Below are 13,961 nucleotides of genomic sequence, written 5' to 3'. Positions count from 1 at the left end.
GATTGGACCCCAGCCTCCAATTTCATGGGTCTGAAACCTGACAGCCCAGTAGTGTCAGGTCATCTAACCATGTGCCAGATGTTACACTGCTCTTGTCCACAGGGCTCCCAGCTTGGAGATGAGGACTAATAACACAGAAGTAAAGTCTCAAATGATCTTGGCCCTAATGATCTCTATCTCTAGCAACAAGAAGTGGCTTGTACATTCTGTCTTAACCTCAGAACAGAGGGTGTGCTGGGGAACAAGGCATTCATATATTAACCTTCCACTCAAATCACCTGATGTTTGTGAGTTCCACCCTCCTTACAAATGCAGACTTCCTTCCTTGATATATCAGGCAAGGAAAAGGATTGTGTACAGACAAACAGAAAACTCTCCTTTCCCCTACTAGTCTCTACTTTCTAGACAATCTTGCCTTCAAAATGTTTAATTGTTTTAGTTGAAAGACATGTTCAGAAGCTTTAAGAAAATGAAGTGGCAAGTTGGGCTAAATTTGAATAAAACAAAAAACTATTCTACAAAATGTGACCTCTCAAGTTCCATTTTCTTGAGCTTTAATTGTAGTTATTTGTAGTTATTGATAATAGCACAGTACTAGGTAAGTGCATCTGTGATTTGAAATTCTTGCCTCCTGAAACCACTTTTTTTAAAGCATTTCCATGTAGCTCACTGGAGTCCTCTGCAATTTGCCAGAGCATTGCAGTGGAATCACCCTCAGGCATGGGTACTTTCTCTGGTCACTTTTGGGACAATCACAGCTCCTCAGGCAGCTAGGACAGTTTTGTGTTCTGCTCACATGCTTGTGTTTTGACCTTTGAAGTCTTTACTCCACAATCTAACCAGCAATTGCTTAAAGGAAAGCAGAGTCATTGAGATGCTCTCTCCACAAATTCTTAGTGCCTTCAGCTATGCCCAGTTCCCTAGACTGCCTATTTAAGTGGCTACTAGGTTCGTCTGTGAGCTGCAGTTAGACCAGTCAGAAAAAGCATCACTCATCTCACTTTGTTTGGGATGACAATGATCATTCCAAAGTTGCCTAGAACTGTATGTCCCATACAAAGAAGACAGCCTGCTCCGTAGAGATGCAGGGTAGAAGCTAACCATAGCAGCCATTCTGTCCATTCTATTTTTTTTAAAGACCTAACTGTGAAAACCAGCATAATTACACCAGTTATGCTGAGGCCTGTGAGCTCTGAGCATCCCCATTTTTCTGCGGAGATCCATATCTGCTAGGCTGGGAAAGACTTAGTGCCACACAAAGGATAGTGGTTAACTTCAACACCAGTGGCTGGGGACTGAACCTGGGGTCTGCCATTGTCCGCCTGCGTGATCTTGGGCAAGTTATGCACACACCTAAGCTTCAGGTTTCTCATATGAAAATTGGATAATCCAATTCCCTCATCTCCTAGGGTGGACCTGAGGGTGCAACGGGATAGCGTGTAGAAAGCCCAGAAAGTCTCAATATGTGCCTCATCTTGATTGGATCTCCCTGGCTCATTGTGACCGGATATATGCACTTCTAGTTGTCCTCAACATGAGAAAAAGGACGTGTCTTTCTGTGTTGTGTACCCTGAACTTCTGTCACAGAATCTGGCATATAAAAAGCACTCCGGAAATGTAAGCTATTGTGATTCATGAGAAATGTATCAAGGGGATACAGCCTCCTGTGCCATGCTGACACAGCAGAACAAGTGACGTCAGGCACTGGTCGAACCAGGCTGTTTCTCTCACATGAATACGCACGCACACAGTCCAGCCAAGCCAAGGACAAGATCCAGTCCACCCTCATTCTCTACCCCCTGGCCACAGCAGACTTCTGCCCCTGGGCTGGTACCCCCTAACGCCGGTGGTCTGTGGTGGGCCTCCAGGATTTACCAGGAAGCTGGCCCCCCTACCCTCCTACCCTTGCCACTGCCACCTCAGCCCCTCCCATCATCCCTTCCCAAGTAGGGCAGGGAAAGAAGAAAAGAGTATCACTTCCTCCAGGGCAAAGACTCACCATCCAATCATTTCCTCTCTCTTTGAGGGACTCCTCACCAAAAGAAAGAGAGAGAGAGCGAGTCTCCAAGAAAACCAAGCCAAACACTGGATGTGCGGAGACAAGAGGCTGGGTTCCCATTCCCCGGGATGAGGTCAGCCTGGGGCAGCCTCATGCAGCCCACGTGCTGATTCACCCACCAGGCAGAGAATGGAGTGTGTGGCAACCCAAAGCCCATGCATCAAGGATGTACGCTTGTCTCCTTGGGCTCCACGGACACTGTGCCTGTCACAGGCCCTTTTCCCAGCCAGGAGGGCAGGCTGCAGGAGAGGAGACCTGGCAGTGAGAGGCCAGGGGGCACCAGCCCAGAGACATGGCTCTGGAGGCAGAATGGGAAGGAGTCTGGTTCTAGGAGTAGGGAATTAAGCCAGAAGCAGTTTGAAATCTTAAACTAGATCTGACTGACGTGGACTTTTTTTTTTCTTTTTCTTTTTCTTTCTTTTTTTTTTTTTTTGATACAGAGTCTGTCTTTTAAGTAACCAAATGTTACAAAAAGCTACGGGTTCTTTCTGAGACTTCACTATGGCAAGAGAAAGGAGAAAGAGTTGATAGAGAATGGCTGACAACAATGGTGAAGAGAAACATAAATCCATTCCCTGTTTGTACCTCACTGAATATCATACATTGAAATAACAATTATCCTCCAATTCCGAGGTCCTCACAAGGCAAGGGTGTTCAGAATGTGTCGATGCCCTGAAAATTCTCATTTACCTATTGGAACACAAAATTACACACTCTTGCTTAACTTGTCTGGTAGATAAACATTTATTTCCTAATACTTCTCAATTATTACTGAGGGAGAAGGATGGGTACAATTTCCTCTTAAGTGATGTCCTTTTGAAGGTTCAAACTGTCAAATGTTCATATGCCTGTTAAGGTGTTTGTCATTTGATTAATAAATAATGAGTTTTTGAAAAGTGTTAACACAATTACTATCTTCTTCAGATATGCTTAAAAAACATATTTTACCCTCTACTAAATTTTATATGGTTATATGGTTTTTATGTATTATTTTCCAAAGATTCTAGGAAACAGATGAAAAGTGAAGAAAATTCCAAACATCAATGAGGAGTTAAAGAGATGTTCAAATGTGGTTAATTTTAATGCAAAATGTTGAGATAAAGCATGAGTAATACTGTTGCCGTTTGTCCAACTAGTCCCACCTTTCCTAGAGCAGATAGAATGATATTGTCAGACAGTTGCCAAGGTAACTGCATGATGCTGGGTCAAAAAGTCCAAGGCAGAGGATATTCAAATATGGAAATTGGGGGTGTGGGAGTTGTTCAGTAAGTTTCTAGATTTATGAATATCCATATATTAAGAAGACTATGGAGCATTTTATGGCAACCTCTTTCTCACATCACCACATGCAGATCTGATCAGTTTCTATTTAGTAAAATATTTTATGGAGATGAATCCCTCAAAGGAAGGAAACTAGTTTGGAGATTTGGGGAGTTACATAAGATTTTATTTTGAGCCTGGTTTCTTACTCAAAAAGATCCACAAACTTTCCATATTCACAAAAGTCCCAAACGTGGCCTCCCAAATAAGAAACAGACCTCTTGCATGTAGCTAACTGGAGGTCTCCTGTGCAAACTGTACCTTAACACTATCCTAAAACTTTCCTCGGCCAGGCGCGGTGGCTCACGCCTGTAATACCAGCACTTTGGGAGGCTGAGGCGGGCGGATCACGAGGTCAGGAGATCGAGACCGTCCTGGCTAACATGGTGAAACCCCGTCTCTACTAAAAGTATACAAAAAATTAGCCGGGCATGGTTGCAGGTGCCTGTAGTCCCAGCTACGTGGGAGGCTGAGGTAGGAGAATGGCCTGAACCCGGGAGGTGGAGCTTGCAGTGAGCCAAGATCATGCCACTACATTCCAGCCTGGGCAACAGAGCGAGACTCCATCTCACAAAAAAAAAAAAAAAAAAAAAAAAAAACCACAACTTTCCTCAGGGCTCCTTCTCTGGCTGCTCCTTTGAGCACTAGGATCTAAGCATCCAATGTTACTTCAGCAAAATACATGCATAGAGGGCACTGTGCCCACCTCCCCAACATCCACCCTTGCCCCCCACTCCTGCATTGTGTAGCATGGGTAAGGTTCGACTGAAAGTGATCCCAACTTCCTTGCTAGGGATGGGTCCCTACTGGTCTACACCAAACTTCAGCCCATGCTGGCGTTACCCAGATAATTTATTCAGGCAATTCCCTGTCCTCCCCCATTCCCAGTTTCAGATTCTGTTGTCTGGGACAGGGCCTGAGGATTCGTATTTCCGGCAAGTTTCCAGGTGATCCTGTTTCTACTGGGATTTCTGTTATTTGCCATCCATAATATCTTAAATAATACAATAGGTGAATTCCAAAAATGTTCTTTATACTTAGGAGGTGAAACTCTCCTTGTGCCAGGGAGGTGGGTGGGAGGAAGGGACAAGGGGAGTGGATTTGCTTTAGAGCAGTGGGTCTCAACCTTGACTGCACATCAGAATCACCTAGAGAGCTTTTAAAAAATACAGAGACCTACCCTGACACTCAGAAAATTCTAGTTTCATAGATTCATTCAACTGAAATTCTATTACAACTCCCCACATGATTCTAATGGGTATCCAGAGCTGAAAATCACTGCTCTGTAAAATAAGAGATGTTTCCTAATATTAGAGTGTGTGTGTGTGTGTGTGTGCAAGCACAGGTGCCTATATGCATGGGTTTTGCAGGAAGAGACTGGAGGGTGTTTAACCTGAACTTTTGCTGCTTTTATAATGGCAGCAGACTCTCTCATGGGTATTGGCCTGGCTGGCTCATGGATTCAAACAGCTTTTAGGATAGTCAGCCTCCCTGAGTCGTGCATCCCCAAATAGACAACATTGTCCAGTTTTGCATACTACTATAAACTAAAGATTTGTATGCCTCTAAGATACACATGTTGAAACCTAATCCCCAAGGTGATGGTATTAGGAGGTGGGGCTCTGGGAGGTGATTAGGTCATAAGGGCAGAACCCTCATGAATAGGATTAGTACTCTCTTAAAGTACACCCCAGAGAGCCCCCTTGCCCTCTCCACTATGTGAGCACACATCAAAAAGGTGACATTTATGAACCAGTAAGCAGGCCCTCACCAGACACCAAGTCTGCCAGTGTCTTGATCTTGGACTTCCCAGCATTTGAAACTGTGAGAAATAAATTTCTGTTGTTTGTAAGCCACCTAGTTTATGGTATTTTTGTTATAGCAGCCCAAATAGAACAAGACACATGCTAAGCCAAGGGGCTAATCCTGCTCAGCTCAAGTAGGAAGCTTGAGTGATGAGCAGGAAAGGGGGAAGTAAAGAAAAAACAGCAAATTATAAAGTACACAATTAAGGTTAATTTAAATAAAAGCAATATTTGCCTTACACATAAGATCAATACACTTTAGACTTGAATAATTATAGCTAAAAAGATACTTCTTGTGCTCCAGCCACAATACTTATTGCCATTTTTAGTGCTTATGTCTATTACCTAATTAATTCCTCTTAATAAGCTTCAAAAATATGCTACTTTTATCATTATCATTTTATAGATGAGACCACTGAAGCTCAGAGAGGTTAGTCACGGGCCCAGTATCTCACAGCCAAGAATGGGAGAGCTAGGATCTAGAACTGGGCAGTCCAAGGTCTGTGAGATCAACCACTGTGCTACATCCTGTCCCTCTGTTCGTATTAACATTTAAGATATTTAACTTATTGGCCCTCACAAAGAAAAGTAGAAACAGGCTACACGGTAGTCTGCATCAGGGTTCAGCAAAACAGCCTTGAAGAACTTCATCTGTGACCACTCCCCTCAACCTTAGTTTATTCCTCCCTCTCACTTATCTTCCCTTTTAGTCTAACACTCCTTCCCCGACCCTGAGGCCCCTCACCATAGTGTAAGGATCATTGGTAACAGAGAGCTTCTCAGATCTTAGAGAGAAAGGTCCCTTTCAGATAGCTCAGCATTTTTCTCCTAGCTGATGTGAACGTCAAATAAGAGTACTCTAGGTGAAGGCTGTTAGAAATGTGCCTGGCTCAGCTGGGTGCGGTGGCTCAGGCCTGTAATCCCACTCTTTGGGAGGCCAAGGTGGGCAGATCACTTGAGGTCAGGAGTTTGAGAGCCTGGTCACCATGGCGAAACCTTCTCTCTACCAAAATACAAAAATTAACCAGGCATGGTGGCAGACACCTGTAATCCCAGCTACTTGGAAGACCGAGGCAGGAAAATCGCTTCAACCCAGGAGGCAGAGGTTGCAGTGAGCCAAGATTGCGCCACTGCACCCAGCCTGGGCGACAGAGCGAGACTCTATCTCAGAAGAAATAAACATGCCTGGCACAAGGTAAATGCTCCATGACTCAGGCGTTTCTTGAATCCAGGGCTTTTCTTCAAGGATGAGAGAACTCTCCCTCTGCCAATGTGGTGCAGTGTCATGCATGGGGGCTTTTGTTTCAGACTCACAGTGGCTTAAATCCCACCTTCTGCCTTCAGCAAGCTACTTTGTCATTCCGAGCCTCCAATTTGCTGTCTAGAGAGTGGGGCTAACAATAGGATTCAGGAATTAGTTGTGAGGAATGAATGGGAACAGAGGTAAAGCATTTGGCATGAGCAAGTGGTCAGTAAGGGCCAGGGACATTGCTTTGAATGTAAATCTCACAAGAGGAGGAACACTGTTTTGTTCTCTATTTCTACTGGCAGTGCCTGGCATAGAAGAGGTACTCAATAAAGATTTCTGAAGGAATTAATGAGTGAGTAGATGAGACAAACCACTTAGCTGTTGAGCTTTAACTTACTCATTGAAATTCAGGGAAACTTGACCTAAATAGACATTTCTCAAGACAGTCAAATGACCAAGAGGTAAATGAAAAGTGCGCAACATCATCAATCATCAAAAAAGATGTAAGGTAAGTGTTGGGATGATGTGGGATGTGGAGAAAAGGGTGTCTTTGCACACTGTTGGTGGAAATGTAAATTACTATAGCTATTATGGAAAACAGCATGGTGGTTCCTTTAAAAATAGAACTACCACATGACTCAGCAATCCCACTGCTGGATATATATATATCCGAAAGAAATGAAAACAGTATGTTGAAGAAATGTCTGCACACTTATGCTATTGTTGTGGCATTATTCACAATAGCCAAGAGAAGGACTCAAACTGAGTGTCTACCAATGAATAAATGCATTAAAAATGTGGTACATGTACACAGTGGAATACTATTCAGCCTTAAAAAAGGAAAGTCTGTTACTTGCAAAAACACAGATGAACCTGGAGGACATTATATTAAGTGAAATAAGCCAGGCAGAGAAAGACAAATACAGTGTGATCTCATTTACATGTGGAGTGTAAAAAAGTAGAACTCATAAAAACAAAGATTACATGAAATATTCTACACTTTATGATAAAATAGGCTCTGTGATAGATGATTTAACCCAGCTATAGGCTGCTTTATAAGTGTTCTCAGCATGTTTAAGGTAAGCTAGGCTAAGCTATGATGTTTGGTAGGTTAGGTATATTAAATCCATTTTCAACTTACATATTCAGCTTATGAGGGGTTTATCTGAATCTAACCCCATCATAAGTTGAAGAGCATCTGTATATGGTATGCTTGAAAATTGCTAAGAGAGCAGATTTTAAGTGTTCTCAACACACACAAAAATGATAAGTACTTTAGGTGAGGCATGTGTTAAATAGCTTGATTTAGCTATTCCATAATGTATCCATATTTCAAAGCATATTGTCTACTATAAATATATATTTTTTACTTGTCAATTAAAAATTTTTTAAATAAAATCAAATTTTAAAATGGATCATAAGAAATTACTAGAAAAATGAAACAAAAAGACATACCAAAAATTCAGGAAACCTAAAAACAGGCTTTCTCAGAAAAAGTCACTTCTCTTTGGAACTTAGCACAGAATCCCACAGACTCCACTTTCTAAGGGCACTCGTTTTTTGTCTTCACATCACTTCCGGTATTGTATTCTACGTACTTTATTTTCAAACAGGAAACACTTCCTCTTCACACCAGGCTTCACTCTCTTTCTCCTTGCTGCTCCATTATTCAATGAATTACTTGGTTGACTAACAGTATTTTTTTGTCTGGGCCTTCACAGCTTTAGCATTGAAAGTCCTGTGCCCAGGAAAACCCCTCACATCACCCTACTGGGCACCCAGACATCTGTGACTGTAAAAACTTAACTTTTGGGTATCAATTATTCCAATATAAAGTATCTCCAAATGACACTCCTTCTTTTGCAACTGACCTTTGACAGAGAGCGAGATGAGCCTTCTCTCTCACTGTCTCCATTTAAACATGATCACAACAGCAAAAAGGTAAACATGAGAATAACTATGTCACATTTATGGGAAATAACTACAAATTTATTGGCAGATTTAAAACAAGAATTATATGAAAACAGTGACTCATGTCCCTTCAAAGTATTTCTTTTTAAGTTGGATTATTTAAACAGGAGAGAATGTGACAAAATGCTTATAATGAGGCAAATAGCAGCAAGTTCTCATGAAAATGTAATGGTGTGGTTTCAGCTCAGGGTACATCAAAGGACTGCTGGAAATGTGATTATATAGCTTCCCAGAATCAGATTTTACAGCTATGTACCTGATCAGAAATATTATAAGACCTCAACATATTAAAAAAAAAAAAAAGCATTTCTCGCCTAATCCTTGAAGAGCTAATTCCTCACATCCAAAAGGACTTCATTCTTAATGAGAATTAATTCAAAATAGCACTGCTGGTCTATGGTAGAATCAGTCTACTTTGCTCATTTATTAGGACACATCTACACTGCTAAGGACACATGCAAACATTGTCCACCTATTGACAATACAGCTTTGTCTTGTAGTGTGCCTTCCAACTACTCGGATCTTATTATCAGTTAGAATCAGCCCTCGATATAATGTTGAACTATTTCTGAAAAGCTAAACTTAACACTGAAGCTGAACAAAAAAAAAAAAAAAAACATGTTTTCGTAATATAGCAGGTGTTCTTCATATAATTCTGAAACCCTGGATCATCAGAAAGGAACTCTTATTCATTCAAATTACTTTCTAAAGGGAGACTGTCATTACTGCAGCTGCACCATCCTCTTTAGATCCCATTGCCTTCCGATGTCCTCGCTGGATGGGTGTGAGTTATCACTGCTGACACCAAATAGCAACCAGTTATCTTTCCCCCCAGTTTGACCCTCTTCCCTCCCCAGCCTCAGTGTTAAGAAGCTGAGGCCAGTGAACAGAAGATGATTTTGATCTTAAATCATTATAAGGAAGATTCCAAGATTATTCTTCATTCACTCGAAATTTTATTGATTTCAAGGGCAAATAGTTCAGTCACAAATGCTGCTCCAAGAAAACATCAAGATACAAAGTGGAGGATTTAATACTTCTTCACTACTCAGGTTCCACAAAGTCAGCTATGCACAAAATTAAAGTGCTCATGTGAGAAAAATACCTTATAGTTTTAAGGGCCAAGGCTGAAGTTGGAAAACTTTTAGTGTCTGAAAAGTTTGTTTTAATTTTTTAAAAAAATTTCATTAGTGTCTTGCAAGCAAGAACGCAGTCAATTTTCTGAAACAATTTTTAATAATACCTTTGAACAATAAATTGTGGGCTGACTTTCCTTTAAAAAGTGACATTTATTATTCACTAATTAATTCAGTGATCTTGAAAAGAGCCAGTAGGTTTTATAAAACTAATGATATGACCAGCTTGTGCTTTTTTGTTTCTGGAGCACATTAATTTTACTTCAGTATGCATCTCTGCTCCATTTGCAACACTTCTAATACTGAAACAAGCACAATGATTATGTTCACTGTAGTCAAAGTTAGGTGGTATCGTCCATGCATCTCAAACTGGAAATTCAGAATTTGTTTTTTCTTCTTAAAAAGCTTACATAAAATGTCTTGACAAATAAGCAAAGATGACTTTGCCATGGTAACATTAGAAACTCAACAGTTACACCATCTTTCCTGGTATAATTGGAAGTAGTGGACATACTTTGTTCAGTGCACTACATTTAGCAGTTGCTACCCAGGAGGAAGCACTACCATGAAAGGCAGATGCAACCTGGGGATTAATGACAGCACAGGAGTTGCCAATAAACTGAGTTGAAGCCCAAATTCTATTAATTCCAACTAATCATTTTCCCTGGGTGGTACTGTCCAGGTAAGTGGCTCAGACCATTGTACATTGTGCAAATTGCCTGAAATACACATGCTGGCTTATAGAATGCATTTTCTTTCCACCATTTGAATTGTGCCTTCTGCACAGGAAAAAATAAAGTAGGATTTTTTTTCTTCTTATTCAAGTATCATACTAATGGTTCATATCCTGTAAAACCAGTAAAGGTAACTATGATATGAATTTAGAAAAATCCCTTTGGAGCTGAAACTGTTCAGATTTGAGAATCCAGTGGAAAAATCTCATTTTCAAATCTTAACAAGTTCAGAGCATTGAAATAAGGCTGCAAATAATCACACTTAAAAATAACAAAGTATGATTTTTAAAGCTTGTTTTTCAGGATTTCATAAGTATAAAAGGTGGTTGACCATAATTAATAATAACCATCTACTATGCATAAAGAAACTTTTACATTCTTTTTTTTCTTATTATTTTATTTTATTTTTTGAGACAGAGTCTCAGTCAGTTGCCCAGGCTGTAGTATAATGGTACTATCTCAGCTCACTGCAACCTCCACCTCTAGGGTTCAAGTGATTCTCCTGCCTCAGCCTCCCAAGTAGCTGGGACTACAGGCATATGACATCATACCCAGGCTAATTTTTGTATTTTTAGTAGAAATGGGGCTTCACCATGTTGGTCGGGCTGGTCTCAAACTCCTGAACTCAAGCGATCCACCCGCCTCAGCCTCCCAAAGTGCTGGGATTACAGGCATGAGCCACCATGCCTGGCCACATTTATATTTTTAAATTTCCATTTTCCAAACTATGAAATTACTTTGGTAAAACACAAATATATCATTCATTTCTATTTCTCTAAAAGCTACAAAAGAGAATTCGTGGTGCACTTAGAGGGTTAGAAATTCTCCCATTATTATTGTGAGAGAGTCTGAGCCTCTTTGTAGGTCTCTAAGAACTTGTCTTATGAATCTTGGTGCTCCTGTATTGGGTGCATATATATTTAGGATAGTTAGCTCTTTCTGTTGAATCGATTCCTTTACCATTATGTAATGCCCTTGTTTGTCTTTTTTGATCTTTGTTGGTTTAAAGTCTCTTTTGTCAGAGACTAGGATTGCAATCAAAGTGCTTTGTTAAATGGGTCCTGCTCCCTATGCCACCCAACGGGGTGAGACCCCCCAACAGGGGTTGTCAGACACCTTATACAGGAACGATCCTACTGGCATCAGCTTGGTGCCCCTCGAAGTCGGGTCCCAGAAGAAGGAGCAGTCACTCATCTTTGCTGTTCTCTAGCCTTCTTGAGTGACATCTCCAGACACGGAAGTGAATCAGATGAATAGGGCCTGAAGTGAACCCCCAGCAAACTGCAGCAGCCCTACAGAAGAGAGGCCTGACTATTGAAAGAAAAGCAAACAAGCAGAAAATGACAACAGCATCAACAACAACAAAAGGCCCTCACAAAAGCCCCATCCAAGAGTCAGCAGTCTCAAAGACCAAAACTAGACAAACTCACGAAGTTGAGAAAGAATCAATGAAAAAATGCTGAAAACCCAAAAGGCCAGAGTGCCTCTTTCCTCCAGATGATCACAACATCTCTCCATTAAGGGGGCAGAACTGGACGGAGGAGGAGATAGATGAATTGACAGAGGTAGGCTTTAGAAGATGGTTAATAAAAATCTATGCTGAGCTAAAGGCACATGGTCTAACACAAGGCAAAGAAGTAAGAACCTTGATAAAAGGTTAGGGGAATTGCTAACCAGAATAACCAGTTTAAAGAGGAACATAAATGACCTAATGGAGCTGAAAAACATAGCACGAGAACTTCGTGAAGCATACATAAGTATTAACCAAATCAACCAAGCAGAACAAAGGATATCAGAGTTTGAAGACCACCTCACTGAAATAAGACATGCAGACAAGAATAGAGAAAAAAGAATCTAAAGGAATGAGCAAAGCCTCCAAGAAATATGGGACTATGTAAACAGAGCAAACCAACAATTGATTGAAAGAGTTGGAGAGAATGGAAACAAGATGGAAAACACACTTCACGATATTATCCAGGAGAACTTCCCCAACTTAGCAAGACAGGCCAACATGCAAATTCAGGAAATACAGAGAACACCATTAAGATACTCCATGAGAAGATCAACCTCAAGACACATAATCATCAGATTCTCCAAGTTTGAAATGGAGGAAAAAATGTTAAGAGCAGCCAGAGAAAAAGGCCAGGTCACCTACAAAGGAAAGCCCATCAGAGTAACAGTGGATCTCTCAACAGAAACCCTACAAGCCAGAAGAGAGTGAGGGCCAATATTCGACATTCTTAAAGAAAATAATTTTCAACCTAGAAGTTCATATCCAGTGAAACTAGGCTTCATAAGTGAAGGGGAAATAAAATCCTTTCCAGACAAGCAAATGCTGAGAGATTTCATCACCACCAGGCCTGCCCTGCAAGAACTCCTGAAAGAAGCACTAAATGTAGAAAAGAAAAACCGGTACCAGACACTGCAAAAACACACCAAAATATAAAGACCAATGACACTATGAAGAAACAGCACCAACTAGTGTGCAAAATAACCAAATAGCATCTTGATGACAGGATCAAATTCATACATAACAGTACAAACCTTAAATGTAAATGGGCTAAATTCTCCAATTAAAAGACACAGACTGGCAAATTGGATAAGGAGTCAAGACCTATCAGTGTGCTGTATTCAGGAGGCCCATCTTATGTGCAAAGACACACACAGGCTCAAATTAAAGGAATTGAGGAAAACTTACCAAAGAAATGGAAAGAAAAAAAAAGCAGGTCTTTTTTTTTGCAATCCTAGTCTCTGACAAAACAGACTTTAAACCAACAAAGATAAAAAAAAAAAAAAGACAAAAAAGGGCATTACATAATGGTAAAGGAATCAATTCAACAAAAAGAGCTAACTATCCTAAATATATATGCACTCAATACAAGAGCACCAAGTTCTTAGAGACCTACAAAGAGATTTACACTCCCCCACCATAATAGTGGGAGACTGTTAACACCCCACTGTCAGTATTAGACAGATCAACAAGACAGAAAACTAACAAGGATATTCAGGACTTGAACTCAACTCTGCATCAAGTGGACCTAGTAGATGTCTACCGAACTCTCTACCCCAAATCAACAGAATATACATTCTTCTCCATGCCACATGGCCCTTACTCTAAAATCGACCACATAATTGGAAGTAAAAGACGCCTCAGCACATGCAAAAGAACTGAAATCATAACAAGCAGTCTCTCAGACCACAGTGCAATCAAATTAGAACTCAGGATTAAGAAACTCACTCATAGAAACTCATGGAAATTGAACAACCTGCTCCTGAATAAAATGATTCCTGGGTAAATAATTAAGGCAGAAATCAAGAAATTCTTTGAAATTCATGAGAAAAAAGAGACAACATACCAGAATCTCTGGGACACAGCTAAGGCAGTATTAAGAGAGAAATTTATAACACTAAATGCCCATATCAGAAAGCCAGAAAAATCTCAAATTGACACCCTAACATCACAATTAAAAAAACTAGAGAGGCAAGAGCAAACAAATCCAAAAGGTAGCAAAAGACAAGAAATAACTAAGATCAGAGAAGAGTTGAAGGACATAGAGACAGAAAAAAACCCTCCAAAATATCAACGAACCAGGAGCTGGTTTTTAAAGAAAAATAACAAAATAGATAGATCATTAGCTAGGTTAATAAAGAAGAAAAGAGAGAAAAATCAAATAGACACAATAAAAA

General features: G+C 40.4%; 1 protein-coding gene across 2 annotated transcripts in view; it reads right to left on the bottom strand.

Annotated features, from left to right (window-relative positions):
• Positions 1-13,961, bottom strand: part of CLVS1 (clavesin 1) — a 536,782-nt gene that overhangs the window by 265,628 nt on the left and 257,193 nt on the right. The gene's annotated exons all lie outside the window — the stretch shown is intronic.

Source organism: Homo sapiens, chromosome 8 (assembly GCF_000001405.40).
Source record: "Homo sapiens chromosome 8, GRCh38.p14 Primary Assembly".
Classification (NCBI taxonomy): domain Eukaryota; kingdom Metazoa; phylum Chordata; class Mammalia; order Primates; family Hominidae; genus Homo; species Homo sapiens.
The sequence above is the reverse complement of the archived record's forward strand: the minus strand, read 5'-3'. Positions and strand labels throughout refer to the sequence as shown.